At 45.8% G+C, this 12,263-nt stretch overlaps 1 protein-coding gene across 26 annotated transcripts in view, besides 2 other annotated features; it reads left to right on the forward strand.

Moving 5' to 3' along the window:
- Nucleotides 1–12,263, forward strand: part of SPECC1 (sperm antigen with calponin homology and coiled-coil domains 1) — a 309,668-nt gene that overhangs the window by 85,192 nt on the left and 212,213 nt on the right. For 21 of the 26 annotated variants that reach the window (NM_001386083.2, NM_001386078.2, XM_047437065.1 and 18 more), the window contains one exon: nucleotides 2,081–2,248. In NM_001386083.2, the coding sequence (NP_001373012.2) occupies nucleotides 2,102–2,248 (147 nt within the window). In that variant the 5' untranslated portion in view covers nucleotides 2,081–2,101. Of the gene's footprint in view, nucleotides 1–1,149; nucleotides 1,363–2,080; nucleotides 2,249–12,263 lie in introns of those variants that run through there. The other 5 variants (XM_047437060.1, XM_047437068.1, XM_047437073.1 and 2 more) reach the window with 2 other exon arrangements.
- Nucleotides 10,986–11,280: a silencer, noted in NCBI's record as "tiled region #1687; K562 Repressive non-DNase unmatched - State 24:Quies". NCBI's record gives its function as "represses a minimal TATA promoter and a strong SV40 promoter by Sharpr-MPRA in K562 cells {active_cell/tissue: K562}" and the evidence as "EXISTENCE:reporter gene assay evidence [ECO:0000049][PMID:27701403]".
- Nucleotides 11,155–11,204: a silencer, noted in NCBI's record as "silent region_8305". NCBI's record gives its function as "represses an Ori minimal core promoter by ATAC-STARR-seq in GM12878 lymphoblastoid cells {active_cell/tissue: GM12878}" and the evidence as "EXISTENCE:reporter gene assay evidence [ECO:0000049][PMID:35858748]".

Below are 12,263 nucleotides of genomic sequence, written 5' to 3' on the forward strand. Positions count from 1 at the left end.
TGGTGGTGGGCAATAAATAAAAGGCATTTCATTTCAGGGGTAACCTGGGCAGATTTTGGAAAATGTAGACAGATTGCAAAATCATCCTATGTTTTCATAAAGTAAGCCCTGTAATATCCAGTCCTTTATTTTTTTTTTTTATTTAGAGAGAGGTTTTCACTCTGTCACTGTCCCAAGTAGCTGGGACTACAGGTGTGCACCACCATGCCTGGCTAATTTTTGTATTTTTTGTAGAGACAGAGTCTTGCTATGTTGCCCAGGCTGGTCTCAAACTCCTAGACTCAAGTGATCCTCCCACTTTGGCCTCCCAAAATATTGGAATTACAGGCATGAGCCACTGTGCCTGGACTGTAATAGTCATTTCTAAGTAATTCTAATCATAACATAAAAGGGTGTCTTGATTAAACAGATACTTTATTAAGTCATCTCCATGAGTCAGTCAGACTGACAGGTTGCTGGTTGATTCTGCAGTAATTGGTGAAATTCATCAGTAATTCTCTTCAAGAGTCACTCCGGCTCTGTTCATTCATTTTATATTGGGAGGAGGTCCTCATGAAATTAGTTACTGTATAGGTCTCAACCTATGCATTCTTTCATTGTTGCTGTGGAAACAAGCAATAAAAATCGTGGGTTGAAGAAGAAAAATAATCGGTGCTGAACATCTGTAAAATACATGATAATTAACTTGCTTTCTGTAATCCAGAATTTTAAAAAAATCATCATACTTGGAACAAAGCTGAGACTCATAAGGTTCTGAACTAATTATGTAACTGAATCATTAATAGTTTTCCTTGGAAACACTGTGGAAAACAAATTACGCCGCCTTTAAAGGAGTGTTTCCACTGGTAGCAGCATTCACAGAGCCGCTGCCATCAGCTCTGCAGCGTGAGCTCAGTCAGATGCATGCCTGGACACACGCCACCAGCTGGTCACTGTTTCAATAGGGTCGGGAACTAGATGGTCGGGAACTAGAGAGACATTGTCAGGAGAAACAAGGTCGCAGACTGAGCAGGATGCTGCCTGTGGTTCTTCTCGTGGCTGGCTAACGGGCTGTGAGGGGAGAGGCAGCCAGGGACGCTAGCACTGGCCGCCATCCCCCGGGGGCAGTTAGTGAGACCCACCCTGCCCCCACCCTGTGCACTGTGAGAGTGGCAGTTAGAATTGGTTGTCACTTGTGGGTGTTTTGTAAAGTGCATTTCTGATGTTCTTTGAAAGGACAGAACATCATGGGTTTGGTGCCCTGTGTCACACCCTGAGTCCATGGGGACAGGCGGAGTCAGGGTTGGGGCTGGAAGAGAACCGAGAGGGCATTTAATCCAGTCCTGTTATGTTATTGACAGAAGAAACAGAGGCTCTGAGAGGGTGAGGGATGGACCAGGCCGCTCCTTGCTCAGGAATCACAGTGCCGGTCCCTGCTGGCCAGTCTCGGGCTGCCTTCCACATCTCTGTGTGGATTTTCCCCTGATGTCTTCAGCTGTATCTTGCTGGTTTGAACAATTTTCCTTTCATAAAATATTGTAGTTAGGGCAGTCACTCTGCCCAACAGTGTTGGGTCTGACCAATTAAAATATGCTTCATTAATTTTTTATGATACCCATTTTTATCCAAAAGAAGAAAAAAGTCATTTTGTGCTTCTGTGAATTCTTTCAAGTAATTCATTTATGTTTATTTTAAAAATAAGTATATTGTTCCTTTGTCAACCCTAAAGCCACAAAGCTTATGGGCATTTTATTGGTTGACTCTGGCTGACCTGTTTTATCTGGGTGTGAGATACAGATACATAGTGTATGGGTATTTGGTGGAATGCTGTCTCAGGTCATTCTGCTGAAAAGTGATGTCAGGACATCAGTAATGTGGATATGTTTCAGTAGTTTGGTAAAAGCTGTTATGGAGTTGTAAAAATTAGCCTAGTATAAAGCCTATAAACCCATCTTAGGAATATTCTATTTCCAGCCAAATCATAGGTGCTCCTACTCTGTGATAGTTCATGGTGACGTGGTATGTGGGGTGTAAAGTGTGATGATGTCATGCAGCAGGTTCAAGTGATGGAGACATGTTTTTCTTTTCTGCTCTTTTGCAGGACAGACCCACGAAGTCAAGCATGCGGAGTGCAGCCAAGCCCTGGAACCCAGCCATCAGAGCAGGGGGCCACGGCCCAGACCGGGTGCGGCCTCTGCCTGCAGCCTCTTCCGGCATGAAGAGTTCTAAGTCTTCAACTTCCTTGGCTTTTGAGTCCCGACTCAGCAGGGTATGGATCAAAATGCACAGGGCCAGGCAGAGCGCCTGGATACCCTGGGTTGGGAGGATTGAAGAGGGCAGTAAGCAAACCAGTGGCCTCTCGGGGCAGGGAAGGAGGCTCCCAAGGAGGGGTCGCAGGAGGACCAGCATGCCTGGACATGAAGGAATAGAGCTAGCGGGTGGGAGTGGGGGCCCTCTGGGGTCCAGAAAGGAGGTCTGCAAAGTGTTTAACACAGTAATTAAGGTCCTCTGCCCTGGGTTGCATGGACATCCCGGCAGTTTTGCCCCAAGCACGGCCCTGGATAGGGGTCGAGGTCATGCACGATCTTTGCAGCCCCCCACAATCCAGTTGTAGTTCTTCAAGCCCCTCTTACTGGACCCCGCAGCAGCATGGACGCTGTTGATTACGCCCTTCATGAGGGAGTGCGTTCTCCTCTGGTTTTCTCCTCCCCCCATCCCTTTGGTCTCTAAGGTTGGGTGGGCCCATGCCACATTCCTAGACTCATCTCTTTTCTAGCTGCATTCATTTCTTTACATGAGAGGCTCTCACCGTGCAAAGCCTAGTGCCTCCTTAGCTGCCCTGAGATGAATTCATAGACAGTAGCACCTACCTCATGCAATACTTTAGAAAAGTCAATATGATCTTCTATATTAGCATGGATTTCCATCTGCACAGCTGTGCTAAAGGCCTTGAGATGCTCCTTAAAGCACCACGGGCGTGACAGCTACAATGCAGATGGATTTGAGATGCAGACTGATTTGAATTGTGTTGATGACTCAACTACGGTGAAGGCTGCTGCAGAAGGAGTGACGGGATTGTTTTGAAATAGCAGACACTCTTGGTGAAGTTCTGAACCAAGCATGGTGCCGGCTCCCTTTGTTTTAGTATTTTTGGACTTAGAGCAGACACTCTTGGTGAAGACACTCTTAGAGCTAGGCAAGGGGCACATTGTTTTTATGAGTCAAATGGAGGGAGGCTCTAGGCTCAGATAATAATAAAAGGTGTTCCACCTGTGTCAGTGCCTGCGGAATATGTGGAAAGTGTGTGGGTCGTGGAGCAGTTCTTTGTGTAAGATTGTCATGAGCATTTTAGGACATCTGAATTTCCTGTCCTCCTACCCGTTAAATATTAGTAACACATCCAGTCATGGTGACAACCAAAAATGTGCCCTCAGATTTTCAACACATCCCCTGAGGGACAGCCCTGTCCCCATTGAGAACCATTGTTCTAGGTGACGGGTCCATTCTCATGGCTTTTAACACTCTAAGTGGATAACGTCCAAATTTGCATCTCCAGCTGGGACCCCTCTAACTGCCTTTGTGACATCACCCTTGGATGTCCAAAAGTGTAACATGTCCAAAACCGAATCTCAATGCCTTCCTCTCCATCTCTCTCACCATCCCCTAACCTGCTCCCCCAAATCTTCCCATTTGTGTAAATAGCAACTCCATCTTCTTGGTTGCTCAGGCCACAGCCAGTGGCATCACCCTTAAACCCTCCTTTTCTCATGTCTCACAGTCCATCAGTGAAATGCCATCACTTCTACCTTAAAAATATGTGTCAACTCCAACCAATTCCCACTGCCTCCCTTGTGACCAGTTGGGTCATGCCCCCACCCTTCTGTGCCCTAGTCCTGGTCCTTGGAACACCTGAGTCATGTCACTTCTCTGCGTCAACCCTCTAGTGGCTCTCCCCATTCACTCAGAGTGAAAAGCAGAGTCCTTGAAATGGCCAGCGATGCCCTCAGGGCCCAACCCTGTCCCCTGCCTCTCAGGTGTGGTCTCGCTCCTCTGTGCCCTGGCTCCTGGAGCTCCAGCCACACGTTCTGCTGGTGTTTGGTGACAGCTGTCCTTCGGATTGCCAGGTGCACTCCTGCGGCAGTGTGTTTGTGTTTGCTGCTCCCTCTGCCCGGAAAGCACCTGGTGCCTCTATAGGAAGTGTCCTTGACCTCCATCCTCCTCCTCCTGCTGCCTTGTTTTCCTTCTCTGCTCTTGATGCCATTGCACACACCTGCTTGTTTACGGTCTGTCTTCTCATGGCTGGAAAGTAAGCCCCCTGCAGACAGGGACTGTATGCTTCTTTTTTGTACTCGGCTCTGTCCCTAGTGCTTAGAAGAGCACCTGCTACCTGGTAGGCACTCAGTATTTATTGAATGATGAGCACACCTGTTTTCTGGCGGTCTGATGGAACAAGAGGAGCTTGGGGGCGTGGGGCTGGCCTGAGTTGGAATCCTGGCTCTGCCACTTCCCCACTGTGAAGCTGCAGGCAAGCTGTGTAGCTGCCCTGAGCTTGTGCTTCCTTGTCTTTCAGATGAAGGTAACACCTTCTTTGTCATAAGGAGTAAATGTGGGTAAAGCATCCTATGTGTAATTTTGTTTATTATTCTATTATCCTGGATTGAAACATCATTTCCATTATTTTTGTTTTTATTATTTTCAACCCAACAGCACACTTTAAACTTAGATTTTTATGTTTATTATTATTTTTTCTATATCCAATAAGCAACATATAAACTTAGATTTTTAAATGAATACATACATTCCACAATAACAGATCATTAGAGCTGCTGGAATACGGAAATATTTTTAAAAGCAGTGTTTAAAATAAGGCCTCGGCCGGGCAGGGTGGCTTATGCCACTTTGGGAGGCTGAGGTGGATGGATCACCTGAGGTCAGGAGTTCAAGACCAGCCTGACCAACATGGTGAAATCCTGTCTTTACCCAAAAAAAAAAAAAAAAAAAAAAAAAAAATTAGCCTTAGCCGGGCGTGGTGGCATAGTCCTGTAGTCCCAGCTACTTGGGAGGCTGAGACAGGAGAATTGCTTGAACCTGGGAGGCGGAGGTTGCAGTCAGCCAAGAGCGCACCACTGCACTCCAGCCTGGGTGACAGAGTGACACTCTATCTCAAAAAAAAAAAAAAAAAAAAAAAAAACCCACAAAATATATAAAATAAGGCCGGAAGAAGCATAGGAATGTTTCTAAAGGACAATGAATGAGATGCTGGACACTTCTCCCATTGATAGGTTCATGTTTTGGAAACTTGTTCCAAAGAGAAAATGTCAGGGAAAAGCAAATACAGTCATTCCTTGGTATCCTTGGGGGATTGGTTCCAGGACCCACTGTGGATACCAAAATCCATGGATGCTCAAGTCCCTGATATAAAGGGTGTTTGCATATAACCTACACACATCCTCCCATATACTTTAAGTGATCTCTAGATTACTTATGATACCTCATGCAATGTAACTGCCGCATACATAGTTGTTATACTGTGTCATTTTAAATTTTTTTATTGTTGTATTGTTAATTTTTAAAATTAATGTTTTGAATAACTTTTTCTGCACTTGGTACCATGCGCATATTAGGGGCCTTCTGCTCTCCTTCCCGATTCCTGTCCTCTCCAGGCCTGATTCTGTGCAGGAAAATGATAGGGCTTGAGGGAAGGAGCAGCAGAAAGAAATGTAGCCCGCCTGACCTTTCCAGCCCTGGTTCTGTTCCTCTGATTTGACCTTAATCTTTCCACCTATGGTATGGGAAGAAGAAAAATACTAAAAAGGAAGTCAGAGAGCAGAAGAGAGAAAGAGGAAATGGTGGTGGACAAAAAAGCAAGTAATTTTCCCTCCCAATATTTTACTGTGACAATTTGTAAGCACACGGGGAGGTTCTACAGTAGTACAGGGGATCCCACAGCAGACACCATAGACCACCACCTAGGTCCTACAGTTAGCATCTCACTATATTTGCTTTATAGGAAATGGATAGATAGGGTTTCACTGGTCAAAACAGGAACACTGAGACAAATCCACTGAAAGTAGAACTGAATACCTGACTTTCTTTTTTTAAATTTTAATTCGAATTATTATTTTTTTAAAATTTTACTTTAAGTTCTGGGATACATGTGCAGAACATGCAGGTTTGTTACATAGGTATAAATGTGCCATGGTGCTTTGCTGTGCCTATCAACCAGTCATCTAGATTTTAAGCCCCGCATGCATTAGGTATTTGTCCTAATGTTCTCCCTCCCCTTGCCCCCTACCCACCAACAGACCCGGGTGTGTGATGTTCCCCTCCCTGTGTCCATTTGTTCTCATTGTTCAACTCCCACTTATGAGTGAGAACATGCAGTGTCTGGTTTTCTGTTCCTGTGTTAGTTTGCTGAGAATGATGGCTTCCAGCTTCATCCATGTCCCTGCAAAGGACATGAACTCATTCTTTTTTATGGCTGCATAGTATTCCATGGTGTATATGTGACGCATTTTCTTTATCCAGTCTATCATTGATGGATGTTTAGGTTGGTTCCAAGTTTTTGCTATTGAAAATAGTGCTGCAATAAACATACATGTGCATGTGTCTTTTTAGTGGAATGATTTATATTCCGTTGGGTATATACCCAATAATGAGATTGCTGGGTCAAATGGTATTTCTGGTTCTAGATCCTTGAGGAATCACCACACTGTCTTCCACAATGGTTGAACTAATTTACACTCCCACCAACAGTGTAAAAGCATTCCTATTTCTCCACAGCCTCACCAGCATCTGTTGTTTCCTGACTTTTTAATGATCGCCATTCTAACTGGCGTGAGATGGTATCTCATTATGGTTTTGATTTGCATTTCTCTAGTGACCAGTGATGATGAGCTTTTTTTCATGTTTGTTGGCTGCATAAATGTCTTCTTTTGAGAAGTGTCTAAATACCTGACTTTCAACATTGGCCTGAACTGAAGGAGCAGTGAAAGAAAGCAGGGTGCAGAGGCTGGGGACGTGGACACTCAGGGAGGGTGCATACACTCCTGTAAATCCTCCTTGTGGTATCTGAGCACAGCCCAGAAAGAAGAGAACCTGCAGTGTCATTTGCGAGGCCCAGGTCTATTAATTGGGGTCCTCTTGGTTGCAAATGATGAAACATTGGCTTAAGCTTGCTTCAGCAGAAAAGGAATGTACTGAGCAGATCCTAAGGCTCCCATGTCACTATGAGCGGGACAAAGGTGCATTTTAACAAACCCTTCCTGTGACTCTGATGTCTGCTCAAGTTTGAGAAGCGGTGTCCAACCATAACATGTTATCCACCAGTAACGACCAGATTATGTTATGTCTGATGATTTTAGGGCTGTGAATTCTTTTCTACATCTTTGTGGAATTGAGAGGAATTTCTTAGTTACTTTAATCTGTGAGGCATTTGAACTTTTTCCTTTTATATACTTTCTTATACAGGTGGTTGGCAGCTTAAATATCAGTGAAGCTGTTAATGAAGATACTTACTAAATAGCAAAGCAGCACCGAAGTGCACACCTTCATAGGATCTTCTGGAGCAAGCCAGAAATCTCAAGTGGTGCTGTGGCCAGGAAACAAAGCAAAAAATGCAGTGGTGAATAGAGAAGGAGCAAGAATTAGTAACTGAGACTGGTAGCTTTCCTTTTGATGTTGCATCCAAAAAGCAGTGACAAAGTAAGAGTAGCTACCTTCAGCTGTTTGTTTTGAAGGACACGTGGGATCAGTTTTTTGTCTTTATGTCCTACCCCCAGGAAACCTTTTAAGCTACCAGTCTTTTTCAAATGGAATTCCTCGTGGAAGGTGCAGGGGAAATGAAGTGCTCCCCTTGAAAGCTTTGCTGCTACCCAAACTCCATGCCCTATGGGAGGGAGGTGGCACAGCACTGGCCTGCAGCACATCATACTTATCCTGTTGTCTGGGAAGGACAGGACCACATCTACCCACAGTGCAGCATAAAATCCCCTAGTCCAAGAGGAGACAGAGTCAGCTGAGTGTGGCTGGCTCACAAAATGGAACACAATAGCTGATGTGTGTTATCTCTAGCTGTGCCTGGTGCATCACAGGCAGGCACACTATGCATTTTTACTGAATATTGTTCTTGGATGGATTTACCGAAGAAGAGCCTGAGGTTCAGAGAGGTTGATGACTTGCTTGATGTTCTATTGTACTCTCTGGAATCCCCGTTGCATTGCGTTCATTTTTCCTAAAAACACTCCCCTCCTCCCTCCTCCTCCTTGCCTTAATTTGAATTTAGTTTTTACAGGATAACAATAGTAAAAACAATAATGATGATTTTCATTTGTTATCGTTATAGTTGGTGTCTGTTCAATGCATACTGTGTCAGACACTGTTATCCTAAGCACACTGCATGGCTAACTTGTTTAATCCTCAGAGCAACACTCTGAAGTGGGTACCATGATCATACTTACTTTTTAGGTGAAGAAACCAAAGCACAGAGAGGACGTGATTTGCCCAAGGTCACACAGCTAAGCACTGGCAGAGCCAGGATTCAGACCCAGGTGGTCTGTATTTTCAGCCCTTGGCCACTAAACTGTGCTGCCACGTGACATAGCTTTTTTCCCAACCCCTGTGACGTGGGATGGGGACCTCCTGGCTCCTGTTGGTCTTCAGCCTGGTGTTGCTGTGGAAGACACCCACCCCTCCAGAATGCCTCCCTGCCCTCTCTGCCTGAGAAAAACTGAATCATGGCCTCTTCTGTGAGGTCTTGGGACTCCCCCAGCCCCTCCTGGGCTTTCTCCACATTCGTTTCTCTGCAGCTTAGTGCTGTCCTCAGTGTGTTCTGTGTGGTTATATGGGAACCTCCTCTTTAGGTGGTTAACTCTGATCGGCAGGGCCTCCTGATTCACTTTGACATTCATGCCATATGCACAGCATACAGATCTTCTAAGTGGACGTAGGCTAAAGATGTACGTCCAGCCTCTAGTGGGTTTTTGGTAAAGCTTAGCTGAATTACAGTGTTCAGAATGGGAGGGACAGGAATGGAGAAGCCACAAGCCCGACAGAAGCAGCCCTGGCAAAGTGACAAGAAGGGAGGGAGGGGTTTGGAGCTGTTTCTCCTGCCGATCTTCCCTTCCCTCTCCCACATACATGTGGAGGGCTGCTGCAGTCTCCCTAGGAGCATGGCATCCCAGGAGGAGTGCCCCCCTCTCTCCCCAGGACGTCCGCATCCCCCGTCCACTTCCTCCTGGCACTGAAATCTGGACTTTATCTCACTGCAGGATTCACTGAAAGGCTGTTGGATGGCTGGAATCCCCTTCAGCCTTTACAGCTAACATACTAGGTGTTCCCATATTCTAAGGGCTCTTTTACTGTGGGTGAGCTGGCTGGAGGAGAAGGGGAGAGGAGAAGGGGGACGAGAAAGGGAGCCCCACCCTCTGCTCAGGACCCATTGTTCACATTCTTTTCCGTGTGAAATGTTGCTGCATCCAGGCCCTAGGCTATGAGTGGTGGCATTTCTATGTTTGTGGAATGAATATAAAGTCTGTTTTAGGATCAGTGGACAAAAATCAGCATGTTTGAAGTGGAGGTTACAATCAGTTGGTTAGTACGATATTTGACATTTACCCTGGGCCCTTAATGGTGCAGTTTTTCTGATGTAAGGAGGGTGAAAAAGCAGCCACTATGTGTACTAAACAGAAGGCGTGATGAGTACAGTCAGTGCAGGATCGTGAAGGCATCAGCACATTCCTTCTTCAGCTAATCAGCCCAGACAGTGTGGGGTATTTTTGTATTCTCTGCTGTTTGTGCTCTGAGTACATGTGCACAAAATGCAGTGACACTGATCAATAAACTCTTTAAGCCTAATAAGCATATGCAGTCTCATAGCAATGAGGACATAAACAGGGAGAAGGATCTTAGGTGATTCAAATTCTCTTTTGTTGGCCAGGCACGGTGGCTCATGCCTGTAATCCCGCCACTTTGGGAGGCCGAGGCAGGTGGATCACCTGAGGTCAGGAGTTTGAGACCAGCCTGGCCAACATGGTGAAATCCCGTCTCTACTAAAAATACAAAAATTAGCTGGGTGTGGGGGCACGTGCCTGTAATCCCAGCTTCTTGGGAGGCTGAGACAGGAGAATCGTTCAAATCTGGGAGGCGGAGGTTGCAGTGAGCCGAGATTGTGCCACTGCACTCCAGCTTGGGTGAAAGAGTGAGACTGTCTCAAAAAAAAAAAAAAAAAAAAAAAAAAGAAAAAAAAATTCTCTTTTGGAGGTGAGGAGACTGAGCTACCAGATCCAAACCTTTCCAGGGCTCCATGGCTCACAGGTTGCCCGATTCCTAATACAGCATGGTACTTCATGCCCTCCTTCCAAAGGAGGATTTAGATTTTGTTTGTAAATCTAAAGATGCTTCTGTTGCTGCCAGCCTGGAGAACCACCATGGAGAGCCACTAGGAAAACAGCTGCAATGATGATGTTGAAGATGATGAGAGCCTCCAACATTTATGTTCTTAATAAAATGCTTTAAATTTTTAACTAAGGGCACAACTCTAGAGATACGCCAACTGCTTTCTCTTTTTTTTTTCGGTGGGGGGGCGGGAGACAGGGTTTTGCTCTGTTGCCCATACTGGAGTGCAGTGGTGCAATCATGGCTCCCTGCAGCCTCGAACTCCAGCGATCCTCCCGCCTCAGCCTCCTGAGTAGCTAGGACTACAGGCACGCAGTGCCACACCCCACTAATTTTTAAAAAAGATTATTTGTAGAAATGGAGTCTTACTATGTTGCTCAGGCTGGTCTTGGACTCCTGACCTCAAGTGATTGTCTTGCCTTGGCCTTCAAATGTTTTCTCCATTTTAGAATTGAGGAACTGCAGCATCAGTACCTGGGTCATATAGGTAGGAAGAAGGAGCGCTGCTCCCTTCACCACTCCCTGGGCTGCCTCCTTCCTGTGTGATTGCAGGGAACCTCCTATATAGAGATCCCAGATCCCAAGTCTTCTTTTGCATGTCCCACTCCCTCCCCACCCTTGAAAACAAAAACAAACCCTGCGATGCAGCACTTACTGCTGACTCCTCACCAGAGACCCCCCAGCCCTGAGCATGGTGCTGCAGCTACCTGTGCTTTCCCCCCGGTCACTGCTACTGCTTCACCCCTGTTCTTATCATGACTGGCGCCACCTATGTTACCATGCCAGGTCCTCTTGCAGTGCCTCAAAGGCAAAACTCCCACTGCTTGCGCACTGCTGTCTTGTGTTGCCTCCAGCTGTCATCTCACCAAGACCTTGAGTCCCAGGAACCAACCCCTTATGGAAGGGGGCAGGGCAAGCTCTACCTCTGCTGCTCTGGGGTGGTGGCTGGGGATGGAGGCTGTGGTGGGATCTCCGAGGGGGTTTCACTTCTGTTCCCAGTAGGAGTGCTCTCATTTGTTGGATTTCCTGGTTTATTCTGGGTTTCAGAGAGCCCTTCCTCTCTTGGCCTTTGCTGTAGAGTTTGAAAATTCTGTACTTTGAGTCAGACTTGCAGATTTTAGAAATGTCAGAGAATCAGATAGGGGAAAAGCAGAATCCACCGTGTATGGCTTGCGTTATTGCGTTAAGAATTCCCTTAACCACTGTGATTTCCCTTTTTCATTTGAGAAGTCATCTAGGGAGTTTTCAAAGTTTCAAACCAGAATTGATTTTCATTTGGGGACCAGGGAGGCACCTGAGTGTGCTTCTTGGAAGAGTGAGTAATAGTTTTTCTCTATTGAGAAAAAGCTGCCAACATTATAGACTATGGTCATTTAATATTAAACATGTATTATACAGGTGACCTGATGGATGGTTTGAGAGGTTGGAGAGCTTGAGTGAAGGGATGCTTTTTACTCTGAGATGGGAAGTGGAAAGACCATTACAGAGTTCTCTAAGAAGGGTAGTAGTGTAACTTCTGGATTAACTCAAGTGTCATGTTTGGTCCATGATATGGTTTGGCTGTGTCCCCAACCAAAATTCATGTTGAATTTTAGCTCCCATAATCCCCACATGTCACAGGAGGGATCTGGTGGGAGGTAATTGAATCCTGCTGTTCTCATGATAGTGAATAAGTCTCAGGAGGTCTGATGGTTTTATAAAGGGGAGTTCCCCTGCACATGCTCTCTCTTGCCTACCAAGAGTATAGTGAGATGTGACTTTGCTCCTCCTTTGCTTTCCACCATGATTGTGAGGCCTCCCTAGCCATGTGGAACTGTGAGTCAACTAAACCTCTTTCCTTTGTAAATTACCCAGTCTTGGGTATGTCTTTATTAGCAGCATGAGAACAG

The sequence above is a fragment of the Homo sapiens genome, chromosome 17, assembly GCF_000001405.40.
Source record: "Homo sapiens chromosome 17, GRCh38.p14 Primary Assembly".
In the NCBI taxonomy this organism is placed as follows: Eukaryota; Metazoa; Chordata; class Mammalia; order Primates; family Hominidae; genus Homo; species Homo sapiens.